Source organism: Homo sapiens, chromosome 2 (assembly GCF_000001405.40).
Source record: "Homo sapiens chromosome 2, GRCh38.p14 Primary Assembly".
In the NCBI taxonomy this organism is placed as follows: domain Eukaryota; kingdom Metazoa; phylum Chordata; class Mammalia; order Primates; family Hominidae; genus Homo; species Homo sapiens.
In genome coordinates this window covers 40143770-40159280 of record NC_000002.12, presented here as the reverse complement: position 1 = coordinate 40159280, position 15511 = coordinate 40143770, and the positions used below count along the sequence as shown (strand labels likewise).

General features: G+C 39.5%; 1 protein-coding gene and 1 long non-coding RNA gene across 24 annotated transcripts in view, besides 1 other annotated feature; one reads left to right on the top strand and one right to left on the bottom strand.

Moving 5' to 3' along the window:
- SLC8A1-AS1 (SLC8A1 antisense RNA 1) overlaps positions 1 to 15511 on the bottom strand; it is a 337576-nt gene that overhangs the window by 95929 nt on the left and 226136 nt on the right. The gene's annotated exons all lie outside the window — the stretch shown is intronic.
- SLC8A1 (solute carrier family 8 member A1) overlaps positions 1 to 15511 on the top strand; it is a 415166-nt gene that overhangs the window by 353155 nt on the left and 46500 nt on the right. The gene's annotated exons all lie outside the window — the stretch shown is intronic.
- Positions 14660 to 15230: an enhancer, noted in NCBI's record as "OCT4-NANOG hESC enhancer chr2:40371191-40371761 (GRCh37/hg19 assembly coordinates)". NCBI's record gives its function as "activates a minimal SCP1, AML or CMV promoter by ChIP-STARR-seq in primed H9 embryonic stem cells {active_cell/tissue: H9 hESC(primed)}" and the evidence as "EXISTENCE:reporter gene assay evidence [ECO:0000049][PMID:30033119]".

Sequence of the window (15511 nt, the reverse complement as noted above, 5' to 3'; positions counted from 1 at the left end):
GCCCAAGTGGAGCTTACAGTCTAATGGAGGATACAGTAAATCAGACAGATACATTAAAGTAAAGTATATTTATGATGATAAGTTTGTCATAGAGGAAAGCAAAGCTGTGGAAGGGAACAGGAAATACGTATAGAGTCTGCAATTTCAGAGAGATGGCCGAGATGACCCCATCAATAGACCTATTAAGGCCAAATTTGCTTTTCTAGCAGAGGAGTGGTTTACGTTGGTTCATTCACATAGTTTTATGACTCTCAAGAACAAGGAAACATTTTATGACCAGTCTATAGCAATAGAAAAGGGCAGCTTTAAACAGTGAATGGGATTATGCTGCCAACAAGGCCAGTGTCATGTGTTTGATTCTGGTGAGAATAGGTATACAGAGAAACAACTATAAAGATGTTAATACTGCCTTACTTAAAAGAGGTGGATTTTGACTTGCAAACACTTTCATATGTTGTGTTTAATATTATAATTATCGTTATCTTACGATAATTAAGGAAGAATCTGAGTCTGAGAGAGGCAACATGTCTTTAGAACAGACCTTAGATCCTATATCTAATGAAGACTGGTCCAGTGTGCTATCTACTGCCCTTTAGAAGAAGGAAATTTCAAAATGAGGAAAATTGCTCCCTACTCTCACAGAGAGACTGGCCGCGTCACATTACCTGCGGCCATGGTGTCATCATTTCATGATGGAACTAACTCCTGCCTAGAGCTTTTGAAGAATTGTTAATAACTGAGATATGAAACCTCTCAAGTCTTCTTGTCATACAATATATTGTGCTTTATGTTTCTAAATGACCGCTTGGAAATAAGGCACAATTGCTTAGAAATTCGCAGGCTGCTGGGTAAATCGACCTTATTTACAATTTTGAGAAACAACATATCAGAAAGTCAAACCCATGTTTTAAAAGCACCAAATTATACGCAATTACATGAAGGGCAGTTTCAAAAGTTGAGTATTTGTCTTTATGATTAAATTTAACTGTCTAAAGAATGTCAGTATTCTTAGGCTGTTACACAGGCAATAAAATTTGTAAAGCAGCATTTATTGAAGTCAGACTTTCATTGGATTTTAAAATTTCATGGCTAAATAGTTGAGAGTCAGTACAATTTGCCTTATTACAAATATTAAATTGCTTTTAAAGGGCTCTACTGAGAGGTTTCTTTGCTATGCAATTTTCTGTGCAAAATTAACTCAATATATCTCGCTAAACAAAAATAATAATTTTGTAAATAGGGATTTGCTTTTCTTTCTCAGTAACTGTATTCAAACTGGTTTCAAAGTCAACCCTGTGGCAATCTTCTTGTCCCTCTGCTTTTTCTGAATTTCATAGCTCAGTACTTGGGCCTCCTGTGACCATAATGATTCTGCCAACCCAGTTCTTTTAATTCCATATTTGAAGAGTTAAAGGATTTATGAGAATCCAGAGATTAGGAAGCGATTAAGCAGTTACATCCTGGCAGTTCTCCTTCTGTTTCTTCCTGGGTTGAACACTAGGAACAGTGGGTTCTGCAGTTCAATGGCTGTCAAAACTTGCAAGGCAAGTCCAGTACCACGAGGTGCTGTTAAAGTGTGCCAGCATATGCCCTTCTCCATGAAGCCAGCATTCCCTGTCCAGTTTGAGTTTTTCCCAAATCTCTCTCCTTCTACCAGGGCAGAATGGTGAGTCGACTCTAAAAAATCGTGTGCCAGCTGAGGTATCAAGGGAAACAAGTGTGTCAGAGAAGAGGGCAAACATTAGCTGGATAAAGGGAACCAGGATGCCAGTGCCAGTTCCACAACCACCATATTGTTCTTCACAACAGCTTTGGGCAGAGGTGAGGCAAAGGAGAGAATGATTGCAAGGCTGGCTTTGGAGACAGGTGTGGGTTTGTGTCCCTGCCTTCCAAAACCTCCCTGGATGACTCCAGGAAGATTACTACACCTCAAGATCTCAGTTCGCTCACACCTCAGAATCTCAGTTTGCTCATATGTAAAGTAGAGATAACTGCTTTATTCATAGAGCTGCCATAAGAATTAATTTAAACCGTATGCATTTTCACAAAGGCCATCTGTACATGGAAACGCCAAAGTTGGTTGTTTGGGAGGCAATTCTATTATAGAACCTATAATAAAATATGATCAAATTTTGTGCAAATGCAGTTAATTCAATTTAATTAATAAAATAGCTATGGGACTAAAAACACACTGGTTAACTTCTTTCTTTCATGGTATCATGCATACCATTTTATAAATAAGAACACTGAGGTTTGGAAAAACAATGTAACTACTTGCTCAAGAAGCAAAACTGTTAAGGGGCAGTACCAGGCAACAAATCAGCCCAACAGTCTCTCCAGCATGAAGGGTGCACTTGCTTGCTGTGCATGAGGCCTGAGTGAACACACATGTAGAACACACGTATACACAGGTACGCAGAGACATGCATGCATTGTGCGAACACAGACACACACATACAAATCAGGTATGCACGTACACAGAGGCATACACACATACAAAGACAAAGATACACAAAACATGCATACATAGACATGCACATTATATAGTAGATATTTGTTTGGATATTGGAGCCGCAGCTTGAAATAGAAATGTTTTTTTTTTTTCCTTAATATTTGTTAGGTCTCCTTATAGTCCAGTGCACAAGTTCCTTGGGGAGGATGCCAGTCAATTCCCTGAAGAACAAAGGGAAGAATTTGTTTTCCTAGGTGCACCCATAGGCTTATCCTGCCTAGTAATTTGTGACATTCTTTGAAGTCAACACACTCCTCCCTCTTTCTTTTACCTAATGTTAAATATCCAGCATTAAAGAGTTTCCTGAAATTGTTTTACTTTTGACATATCCATTTGCATATCAGACATAGTATGTATTGGCATCTTTATAACGAAAGAATACTCAAAAGTGACTCAAAAAAAAAAAAACTCCAGCAGTTTTGGTTCTGTCTCTTACCAACTGTATAATCTTGGCAAAGAATTTAACACTTCTGATTTTTGGTTTCATCATCAGGAAAAGGAGAGAGTTGGACTAGGCTAGCTCTAAGATACCATCCAATACTGAAACATGGGAGCTCTGTCGATGGCCATTATAGTCCTACAGTAGCCCTGATGGGGATTTTGCTTCATGGCCCGTTGGATTTTGACAATGGAAAAGCATATCTTGCCCATCCTCTGGCTTGCCTAAACTAAATATTCAGCACAATAGCAGCATACACTTCACTTCTGTTCTTCTAGAAGGAAGGGGATTAGAGGAGAGTTGAAGTTTAGCCTCAAAGAAAGCCAAGTGAGATGATGATTCAGAAGTGCCTATCTTCCTGTTACATAATTGGATCTCGGGAATGCCAGTGGAATCTTCTACAGTACAAGGGAAGACATTCTACATGAGGCCCAGCTGGTGCATGCTGCTGACCTGTCCACACTCACTACATTTCACAGCAAATTAAAGTGACCCAGTTCCAGCTAAATAAATAAGTAGAGGGCATGTCACCTTAGCCCACCAGTCCAATATGGATACTAGTTCAGTTTAAAGGACGCTTCTGTCATCAGTCCATCCATGCATGCTTTGTGGATTAATATCCTCAATTATTTAATATAAAATACTGTCAACTCAGTGGTCCCCTGGACAATAATTCACTTGACTATCAGCCTGAAGGCTAATCTACTCTAAAAGTCTTAATAAAAATGGTACCTCAAATGAGTTTCAAGGGATTGCCGTGAAATCTGGTCTAAGCAGGAGACTTTTCAGCATCTCGTCTGTTATTGAACATCATTACTATGGGGAAATTGTCATTACTTAATCCTTGTGGTAGCCTTAGGTCATCTGAAAATCCAATTTAAGCAGTTAAAAATTCTGCTAGGGCCAGGCACGGTGGCTCATGCCTGTAATCCCAGCACTTTGGGAGGCCGAGGCAGGTGGATCACGAGGTCAGGAGATGGAGACCATCCTGGCTAACACGGTGAAACCACCTCTCTACTTAAAATACAAAAAATTAGCCAGGCGTGGTGGCGGGTGCCTGTAGTCCCAGCTACTAGGAAGGCTGAGGCAGGAGAATGGCGTGAACCCGGGAGGCAGAGCTTGCAGTGAGCAGAGATCTTACCACTGCACTCCAGCCTGGGTGACAGAGCGAGACTCCATCTCAAAAAATAATAATAATAATAATAATTCTGCTGTGTCAGATTTGACATAGCCTCAGTGTGTCTAGAAGACAACCAAAAAAAGGAGGAGGGTGTTACCAATGGGATTTCTCATTTTGCCCTTTTTCTTATGTGATATCAACATTCATAATTTTCCTTTGTCTAAAATCATATGTTGACTGAGGTTCATGAAGAAGGATGCTAGTCTCATGAGCAAAAGTAGGTAGAACTGTCCTAAGAAAGTTTCTCACTTGAGCCAAGGAGTTCAAAACCAGCCTATGCAACATAGTGAAACCCCATCTCTACAAAAAAATAAAAAATTAGCCGGGTGTGATAGTGCATGCCTGTAGTCTCAGCTACTCAGGAGGCTGAGGCAGTAGGATCACCTGAGCCCAGGAGTTCAAGGCTGCAGTGAGCTGTGATTGCACCACTAGACTGCCTAGGCTACAGAGTAAGACCCTAACTCCAAAAACAAAAAAGAAAACTTTGTCAAAGACATATGAGTGTGAAATTGTGGCCCACTTTGGCTGGGCGCAGTGGCTCACACCTGTAATCCCAATACTTTGGGAGTCTGAGGCAGGCGGATCATGAGGTCAGAAGATCGAGACCATCCTGGCTAACACGGTGAAACCCCATCTCTACTAAAAATACAAAAAAAAAAAAAAAAGAAAAGAAAAAAAATTAGCCGGGCATGGTGGCAGGTGCCTGTAATCCCAGCTACTCGGGAAGCTGAGGCGGGAGAATGCCATGAACCCGGGAGGCAGAGCTTGCAGTGAGCCGAGATCTCAACACTGCACTCCAGCCTGGGTGACAGAGCAAGACTCCGTCTCAAAAAAAAAAAAAAAAAAAAAAGAATAAATAAAAATAAATTAAAAATTGTGGCCCACTTTTTGTTTAATGTTACCATTTGGCTTCTATGACATGGCTGGTACTTTGTAGGCATTATTTCTGTTCTTCACCTATATTCTGAGCTATGTCATTTTTCCCAAAGTTAACAACTATGGATCCTGAGGCCCAGAGTGGTTACGTAACTTGTGTAGGGTCACACAACTAGCAAGTGATTAGCTGGAATATGAAACCCCATCATCGTGAGTCTAATTCCAGTAGGCTTTCAGCTCAATCCTAGGTGTTCCTCCTACAACTTTAGTTTAGGTTTCAAGTGCTCACATTTCAGATGAGTTAATTCAGGACAAAAGGGATGAAGTTAACAAGTCTTTTAATCTCAGTTACACATGGGGAAGGTAAGGGTTTGGAAATGAGTGTGCAAGCCTGGGACAGAAGTGCAGAAGGACCAGGAAGAATAGAATCAGTCCTAGAAAGTAGGCAGGATCAGTTACTGGATTTCCTAGAAAGTCCAGACTAAATCCCATCATAAGGAATGTTTTTGTGGTGTAGGAATTGTATTTATATCTGGAGCTAGAAATTGTGTCAGGTCTTATGAAACAAAATGGAATCAATGCCCAGCCTTTTCTCCAAGCTCCTGCTCTTTCTCTGTGATATTATTAGTTATCTAGGTAGGTAGGTTGTTTCAGGCTTGGAATCACTGGCATGCTTGAAAAAGGTAGGAACAAAGGTCAAATAGTAGTTATTTGAAACCAACAGGAGATATGAGCAACACTGCTGCCATCCAACTTAGCTCTTATTCCTTGTTTCAGTGTAGAGTTAAAAGATTCCCATTCTCTGTGATACAGAGTACATATAACATGGATGACAAATAAAGTGTTTAAATTCTTTATTTGTTGGAATCTTTGGCTTCTCTAGATACTTGAGTTCAATGAATTCTGGTGCAGCCACCAATTAGTTATGGGGCTCTGGACAAGACCTCTAACCTCCCCTGTGAGTTAATAGCATTAGAAGAGATGACCTTGTGAGTTGTCTTTAGGACATGGAAATACTAAAGGGTCTCTTAAAGACCCTTCATTCTCATAAATAAAATGCCAACTTGCTTTCCGTGTAACTGCTATTTGAAATTTAGAGTTCTAAATTATCACACAAATTACTACTAATTTTACTTCACAGGTATCTTTAAATTATCCAATCCATCCTTGTAAGTGATATTTTTTTAAAATGTAAGCTAGTTCATTACATTTAGGACATTTTCTCGGTTTGAAATGTACTGACAAAATTGAATTTGGAAATTTGAAATCTCAGTTATAGTCTCTCTTCTATTTTTTTAAAAAAGATGGGGTCTCCTCCATTGCCCAGGCTGGACTGCAGTGGCACATCATAGTGGCATGTCATAGCTCACTGTACCCTTGAACTCCTGGGCTCAAGTGATCCTCCAGTGTCACCCTCCTGAGTAGCTGGGACTACAGGCAGGCACCACCATGCCTGGCTTCTGTGTAATTATTACACATCCAGGTCTTGCTGAGTGTCCCACCCAAGCTGCCACCCTGCTTTTCTTGGTAGACCCATCTTATTCAAAACTGCAGAGGAGGTCAGGTGCAGTGGCTCACACTTGTAATCCCAGCACTTTGGGAGGCTGAGGCTGGTGGATCACTTGAGGCCAGGAGTTTGAGACCAGCCTGGTCTACACGGCGAAACTCTGTCTCTACTAAAAATACAAAAAAAAAAAAAAAATTAGCTAGGCGTAGTGGTGCACACCTGAAATCCCAGCCGCTAGGGAGGCTGAAGCACAAGAATCACTTGAACCTGGAAGGCAGAGGCTGCAGTGAGCCGAAATCATGCCACTGCACTCCAGCCTGGGCAACGGAGCAAGACTGTGTCTCAAAACAAAAAACTGCAGAGGTAGTATCCAAACTACAAGTCTCACGCCTGTTCTTCTGCCTCACATTAACTCTATTTATCTGTTGTTTTACTATGTTGGAGGTTTTTCTAACCTGTATTCATTGCACATAAACAACTATATATTGGAAGGTTGTTTGCTGCACCAGAATTTATGTAAGAGAGTGATACAAAAGATTCAAGTACCTTTCAAGAAATACATACTTTCTGTGCATGTCATGCCCCCAATAAAGAATTTCCTTTTTATTAATAAAAAGAAAGAAATTTAGGACTCTAACTTTAATCAAGATGCAATACCTACCTTAGAATACATGTTAAAGTGTGTAATTACACTGACTTCACAATATGTCACTTAAGACATTTGGTGCTTAAAATACACTGTTTAATGGTCACATTAAGTGAATTCAATAGCCATTCATCCTTGATGAGAATTGGATATCACAAAGTAAATCTTAAAGTTCTTATCAGAGCCTCTTTTAAAACTGCCCTCATTGGAGTTTAACTTATCTGTAATTTTAATTTTTATCTTTAATGTATGACATTTGAAAACTAGTACTTTATCTTTTATAAAACCTCACAATGCCACTCACTAAACTTTAAAGAAAACATGATAAATTCCTAAAGAGAAGCTTTTTTCCCTAGAAAATTAATTTTTGTCACCTTGCAACTGGAAGATCATAACTATATAATTCAATGGTTTCTAAATTGCTTTGGCCATTGGAAAGCACAGTCTTTTTTTAATCTACGTGTTCAAAATTCAGTCAACTCAGGTGACTAAAAGCATCCTTTATTTCTGCTTCAGACATTTTTTGTCCTATTTTTGTCTTAAAATATCTTATGCTCTATTAATAGGAACAGATCTGCTCAAGTCCTCTTAGAAGTAGGAAGAATCTAAATAAAAAAAAACAACAACAACCGCAAATCTGCCCTGTTCATCGCTATTTCTCTAACACCTAAGACAGTGCTTGGCACTAAGACAGCGCTTGGCAATGCTAAGTCTTTGTTTTATAAAGAATGAATACATTTATTTGTGAATTAAAGTTTTCCAATCCGTATATAACTGGATTAAAAGACATCATCATACTGTGTCTGATCTAGAAAACAATCTATATAAATACATACACACACACACACACACGCACCATACACACGCCATGTTTCAAAAGGAGTTTGAGACATTTGTTTTCTCTATGTCAAACTTCATATCACTTGACATGGAGATGTGAACTTTCACATATTTGTACACATAAGATATATTTATCTGTGTATTTGCAAATTGGACATGCAAATATAAAATGACATTTTCTCTCAGTGTTCTTAAGTATTCTTAGTAAAATTTCACTGTTATGTAGCTGATAATGATGATCCTAAGAGGAAAAGCGGAGGACATGACTAAGAAGAAAGACAGAGTAAGTTCCAGATATAAACTATTTATGGGAGATATTCTAGGGACATACTAGTAGGTGAGCAAAGCAAATTTAGGATATCTGTCGATCTAAAAATGCAGCAGTAGCAGGAGAAAATGTTGAATCAGGTAGCTACAGTTTCCACTTCCAGAACAAGGCAGGCCAGAAACAAAGGTGGAAGTACGAGAGGGTGGGAGAAAAAAAGCAATTATTTTCTGGCCTCTGGATATGCTTTAGCTGATGTTTCTGAAAAGAATATTGGCTCATTGGTCTGTTCTTCTCTTAAATTGCGTATTATAAAATCTTGAGGAAAACACCGTATTGAAGGGCTCTAGAATGATTCAGCACTCTTATTTGTATGCCCGAAGTCGTGTCTCTAACGCAGTTTTGTCTGGGGTGGCAGCAGCTCTGCTCTGCAAACAATGTGCCATCACTGGGTCCAAGAGCTCTTTTGTTGGCATGGGCTGCTGCAATGTGAATACAGTTTTAGTTGTTGCTTGCAAATCAAGGTGTGAGGCATGAGGGGACTTTTCATCCCCAGTCGGGAGCCTTTGTATGCTGTTTTCAGTAGGGGAAACATTGCAGCCTAACCCAAAGAAGTGGAAGGAAGAGAAACCATAGCCACCCTCCACCACACACAAACACTCTCCATAGGCAGAGAGGAGCCACATAAAAGTGACTGGCAGCATTACTTCTTGCTGTTCACAGCCTGCTCTCTTGATAAAGACCTTGTCTTTCCAACTCCTGCAATGAAAAGCCACTCGCGTGAACCAACCTTGGCACATACATCCCACCGCATGCTTCTCCCTTGCCTTGCCTTTGCCTGGTCAGGTCTGGCTGGGTGTTGTGTCTTATGGCCTGTTAGATAGAGCATCTTAGAATCCTGGCCCCGAGCTGGAAAGGAGCAGTGATTCTAACCTCCCCTTGCCTTTTTTTTTTTTTTTTTTTTAACAAATAAGAACCTGAGAACAGAGAGAGGGAGTCTCCTCCAAGATCACAGAGAGACTGTTTTAGAACCCAAGGCTCCTGCTGCACCATAAAGCATTGCTCATTTTTCTTCTGGAGTTGTAGAACCAACGCCTTAACCATCAGATACTCCATGTCTGCCCTCTGATGTTACCTACTGACCAATGGGCTTCTTGGTGATGTGATGCCTTAGGATTAGACAAAGCAAAGATTGAAGCTTTCCTGACCAACACCTTAGCAGCACTGAGTGACCAAATGGTCTCCCAATTGGTGAATAGTTGTTTTATATCCACATAAGCCCCACAGCAGCCTCGTGCAGTAGCTACTCATGAACCCATTTACAAGAAATGGAGAAATTGAAGTTGGGATTCCCACCCTGACCCACAAGTTCTGATTCCCAAGTCAATCCTCTTTCCATCTTGTCACACTTGCCTCCCAAAGCTTAATGCCAGTAGGACACAGGCATATTTCTGTTCTCTACACAGTTGTGCATGAGATATTTTCTCTGCATGGAATACTTTCCCTCCATATCCGATTATTTCTCCTCACTAAAGTCTTAGCTCACATGTCAACTGCTCAGAGGGGTTTCTCGGCCTCCCAGTCACCAGACTTCATTATATTCATAACTCATATCAGTATCTGAAATTATTACATATTATATTTGTTATTTGTTTACTTTGATTACTATCTCCCCTTGCCAGAATGGAAATTCTATGAGATCAGGGATCTTATTTTTCTGCATTTGCAATGCCTAGAACTGTGCCTGATACATAAGTTGACAATAAATACTTACTAAAGAAATGAGTGGCACTAATAAAGTCAGTCTTCCAACCATCCCATTCCCTTTGAAGATTTCCTAGAGGTCCAGGTTAGGGGTTCAGCCTGGGCTTGAGGTGCAAAACAGTGACCCAAAATATTTTAGAGTTCAAACCTACAGACTTAATAGAATATGCACCAGGCCTTGACCAAATAAAAAAGATAGGCCACTGACTTATTGACAATAGGAGGGAAAGAGAGATTTTCCAGATGGCTGATATTGAAGAAAAACATCACAACATCGTGATGCATGGTTACTATTTATGAGAGACAAGAAAGCCATGGCAGACAGACAAACAAGATTGTCAGCACCCACCTTAGCCTACTTACCCTCTAATAGAAGTGTTCAGGAGCAGTGAGGGAAGGAGATGCTCCATCTGAATTCCACCAATCAGCTAATTTCCCTCAAGCCAAAACTAAGTTTACTATATGTAAGCATATAACTTCTCTTAAAAATCTTGTTTATACCTTTCCAATAGCACAAAAGAGAAAGTTGGTTTTGACTATGCCCATTTTCCAGAAGGAGAAACTGAGGCACACAGGATCTGTGAGGTGGCCAAGAGCAAGTAAATCATGGGACCTTACGGTCAGTGGAGGGCCGTGTTTACTGAGATCTCGTTAAAAAATCACAACAGAAAGAAGGAAAGAGGAACAGGCAGATGAGGGGTGCCTTGAGCAACTGCCATCACTTTGTATTGTGCAAACCGAGGCCATCATTAGACTGTTACTCAATTTGCATCACCACTTTGCTCAAACGTCAACTTTCAAACCCTATGTTCAGAACAGAGTCCATTCAGGAGATCCTGAGATCAGGAAAAGAGTTATGAGAGTGTTATTGTCATTGCTGTAGAGCCAGCGTCCTTTCCATTTGCTGCCCAGAGAGACAGATGTTTGCCACCAAAATGAGGAGAATCCCACTTCCCAATGAGGCTGAAATAAATCACGAATAGAGGATTTGCATAAAGATGCATTTTTTTAAATAAAATTCCAGGAAGAATAAAATTGAGCCAGCCATTCATTCTCTGAAAGAACAATATAGTATTTTGTGTATTATATCATATCCAGAGAGTTAATTTAAGGAGGAGAGACATTTCCCAATTACACTTTTCATAAAACAATGCTAAGTGAGCTTACATTTTATCAGAATGAATTTTTGCTGTACAAACCACAGAGATTTTTCTCTATGGAAACCATGGGTCATGTAATTGTAGCGAGGTGACAGAGTTTTAGATCTCATAAGCAAGTCATTTAAATGGTGTGAGCCTCAGATTCTTCATCTCTAAAACAGAGAAAATAATACCTACTGCAGCAGGCTCCTGGGAGGATGAAGACTAAGTGGGATGTACACTTTTACCTACATGCATAAAAGTAACACTCAGTAAGTGAACCTGCATTCATAGATGAATCATAGCAGCATCTTAAGAGGCTCTGGGCAGCATTTATGCCCCTCTGCATGTGGAGCAGACTTGGGTATACATTTACCCTTTATATACATGTTAACATTCTCTAGGACATAACATTGATATGTCTGTTAAAAATTATAGGGTTATCACTGCCCAAACAGTTGCTTCACGACTCAGCTTCCCACACTACAGGAGGCTAATTTAGACACAGCTGGTGATATTTACAAAGTGTTATCAGAGTCCTCAGGCCAGTCTTAGAACCTGGTGTGCCCACATACTTCCCACTGTAACTAAACCATCTACACTAGCAGGAGGTATCTACACTTGCTGAGTACCAATTCTACTTGACAAAGCCTTATTTCTTAGGTATTCAAGTCTACAGGGAATGTTTCCCTATTTCGGGAGCTTGGAATTCTGTCAGTCCTACAATTAGTTAAGGGTAAGAGAACACTCTGAATTTCAAGATTCTTACCCTAACTTGGAGTTATTTTATAAACAACCAAGCTTGGGGCAAAAACACACATGACTAATTACATTAAACTGTAATTTAGGAACACCCAATTCATATAGCGGATTTTTTTTTAGGAACAAGAGACACTAAAGCCATCAATTTTCAGCTTTAAACAGATTTGTTTTGGTAATAATCGAACTTGCATGGAGCTAGAACTCCTTAGTGAATCCGTTTTTCATTTGGACAGTGGCTACATTTGCTGAGAAATATTTCTGTCACGTTAAATATTTCTTGTGCTATGTTAACCACCCCAACAAAGACCATAATGGCTTAAGCTTGTAAGCATTCTGTTTTTTGTGGATGATTTCATCTAGATGTTCATTCATTTCAGCCAGGTTTGAAAGTTATTAACAGAGAGTGAGTTGCCTTCTTGACGCCCTTTACAATACTGTCACACATCACCTGGCCCAAACCCCTTAAGAAGTAGCACTAGTCCCGTGGGACAGTATGGCCCACAGATTAGCTGTGGCTTGGAAGAAGCGGGTAGGGATGGCTAATGGGGCCTGTATAGTGTCTTCTCCATCCAAGAACAGTCCAGTAGTCCAAGTTACAAATATATAGCAAACTTGAACTCAAATTTTATGTACAATAGTATTAATATCCAATGTGATGGATCTAGGTTGTGCATTCCTTATGAGACTCTAATGCCTGACGATCTTTCACTGCCTCCCATCCCCCAAAGATGGGACCATCTAGTTGCAAGAAAATAAGCTCAGGGTTCCCACTGATTCCACATTATGGTGAGTACATAACAATAATAGAAATAAAGTGCAAAATACATGTAATGTGCTTGAATCATCCCAAAACCATCAAAATTGTCTTCCAGAAAACCAGTCACTGGTGCCAAAAAGTTTGGAGACCACTGGCCTAGGGGATGGGGCCTGGACAAATGAGTAGAACCTAACAGCCTGAGCTGACTGCCAGAGACTCTAAACCTGGATTGTGAGATTATGAGTTCCCCAATAGCTGAAACTCTCAGAAGTGGCACAAGTAACCATTCGGCAGAGAAATTTTAAAGAAATTCACATTAAGCCGGGGTTGAACTTGGCACACTGCAAAACCCTCCTAAAGCTTTAAGCTCAGGTATTTTCTAAGACCCACGTTTCAGTTGGTAGAAGAAAATGCCTACATTTTCTTCTGTGCACTGGCAACTCATAGATCTAGGAATTCGAACCTATTGTTTTCTGAGCTATCGTTGATAGGAAGTGTCTTCCAATATACTTAGAAGAAAAGTTGTTGACATCATCTACTTTGCATCAGAGAATATGTTAAGTACTTCCCACCAATTAAGGTATAGAGAAATGTTTATTGCACATCTCCAAAATACAAAAAAAAGAGAGATCAACTCTTGTTTGGGAATAAATCTTTGGGTTACTGAATTTAGTGGCAGAGGCCATTAAGAGTGGGAAGAGATAAGGTGTCACTAGACATAAGGTAAAAGCATGTAAAAGGGAAAAGAAAGAAAAGAAGTTTCAGATCATTTTATGAGCAAGACAGTAAAAACTGCTGGCCCTTATGGCGTCACATACACATGCATACACACTTTCTCACACATACACAAACAGATATATACAGATGCAAACTAGGGAACAAAAATGTATCAATTGAATCACCATTCTGTTTTATTTTTCTTAGCTGATCGCTAAGGTCTTTCATCTTTTATTCTTTACGATTCTCTCAGAACCTTTAAAGAAAAGAGAAACAGAAATATGTAACAGGAGAGTAGAATTTGATTTGTAATTACTGTATGTCAGGTTGCAAAAAAGTCATAATTCTGGAGGAGAAAGCCTACTGAGTGCCTGGAAAGAATCGAAAGTCAGACACATCCGCAGATGAACAGCAGCATACATTTTCCAGACCGCTTTACATACAGACTTGTGATGATTCAGGCCACTTTCCCAAATTCAAGGGTGATGAGCTAGAGGCAAACCAAGATGTTTGATTCAGAACTGGATGGTTGACCTTTGGCAACCAGAAATGGAAATAAGAACTTGTCACACTCTAAAGGAGAGATTCCTTATGATTCAACCTTAAGAAAGGAGATTCTGCCACTTGCCACAACATGGATGGGCCTGGAAGACATTATGCTAAGTGAAAGAAGCCAGACAGAGAAAGAAAAATATTGCATGGTCTCACTTATATGTGGAAAATATATATGTTTGAAAAGAGCTCAAATACACCAAGATAGGAATGAAGCAGTGGTTACCATCTTACTATGGGCAGGGGTTGGGGCAGGCAATGAGAGACATAGGTCAAAGGATACAAAATAGCAGATAGGAAGGATGCACATGTTTAGAGATCGAATGGGCCACATGGGGACTAAAGCTAATGAAATTGTATTAGAAATGTTTGTTAAATAAGTAGACTTCAACTGCTCTTGTCACAGGAAAAAGTAACTAGATGAGATGATAGATGTTAATTTGCCTCCCTATAATAATTTTACTATCTAAATATATCTTATAACATGACATTGCTAATCTCAAATGCATATGATAAAATTTTAAACAAATGTTTAAATAGAAAAAAATAGAGGTTCCAAAACAGTCACACCATGATCCCCTGCTTTTACCTGATTGTTTTATTTCCCATGTTTTCTTGGTCCCCACGGGTCTGAGAAAGAGCTTATGGCTGGCTCTGCCAAAGAAATAAACAACCCAAAAATCGTATCTAGAAAGTATTAGAATACAAATATTAATTATGGCACCTCAATATTTTCACATTCCTAAAAAAAAAAAGGTACCACTGTATCTATATAACACTAGGCATTAAAAAAATTCCGACTCAAACTTCGAATCAATATGTGATACTGAACTCCTCTACTTTCTTCCATAAGGCATTTTCTATAGTAAAATGTTCCCTGGACTGTTAGATCAAATCCCAACTCAGTCACTTAAATTCTGTGTGAGATTATTTTAGCAAGTCACTTAAATTCTCTGAACTTCAGGATCTTCATATGTATAATGGGATTAATAATGCCCACTTTGCAGTGTTATTTTAAGGATGAAATAAGATCAGGTATGTGAAAGAATTTAGCTTAGTGCCTGTCATTTAAGAGACACCCCACCAGGTTCCCTTCCTGTTTCTTTCTTTTCTTAAAAGCAAGCAGCTTGGGGAAATGAATGATAATGGCTCATTCAAACAGAATATATACTCAGTGAAATCAGGATACTCACATTGTATTGATATACTGCCTTCCTTCAGACAAGTAACAATAATGGAATATGGCACATTTGTCTATAAAGATGCATATAGTTTTATAAAGGACTTGAGCATTTCTTCTTCCAATCCCCACAACAGCTCTGAGAGATGGGAGTTAGGAAACTCATTTGACAGGTGAGCAACTGAGGCTTGGGAAATTTAAGTGTCTTGCCCCAAAACAAGCTGTCAGAACTATAAAGTGGCTTAAGTCTTCTGACCCACGTGTCCATTACCTTCCAGCAGTCTCTTTTTCTGGTTATCAGAGCTCTCCCTGAATTCAAGCCCTGAGCAGGTAGAGAGACACGTAAAGAAACACCTGTTTACTTTAAAAGAAAGA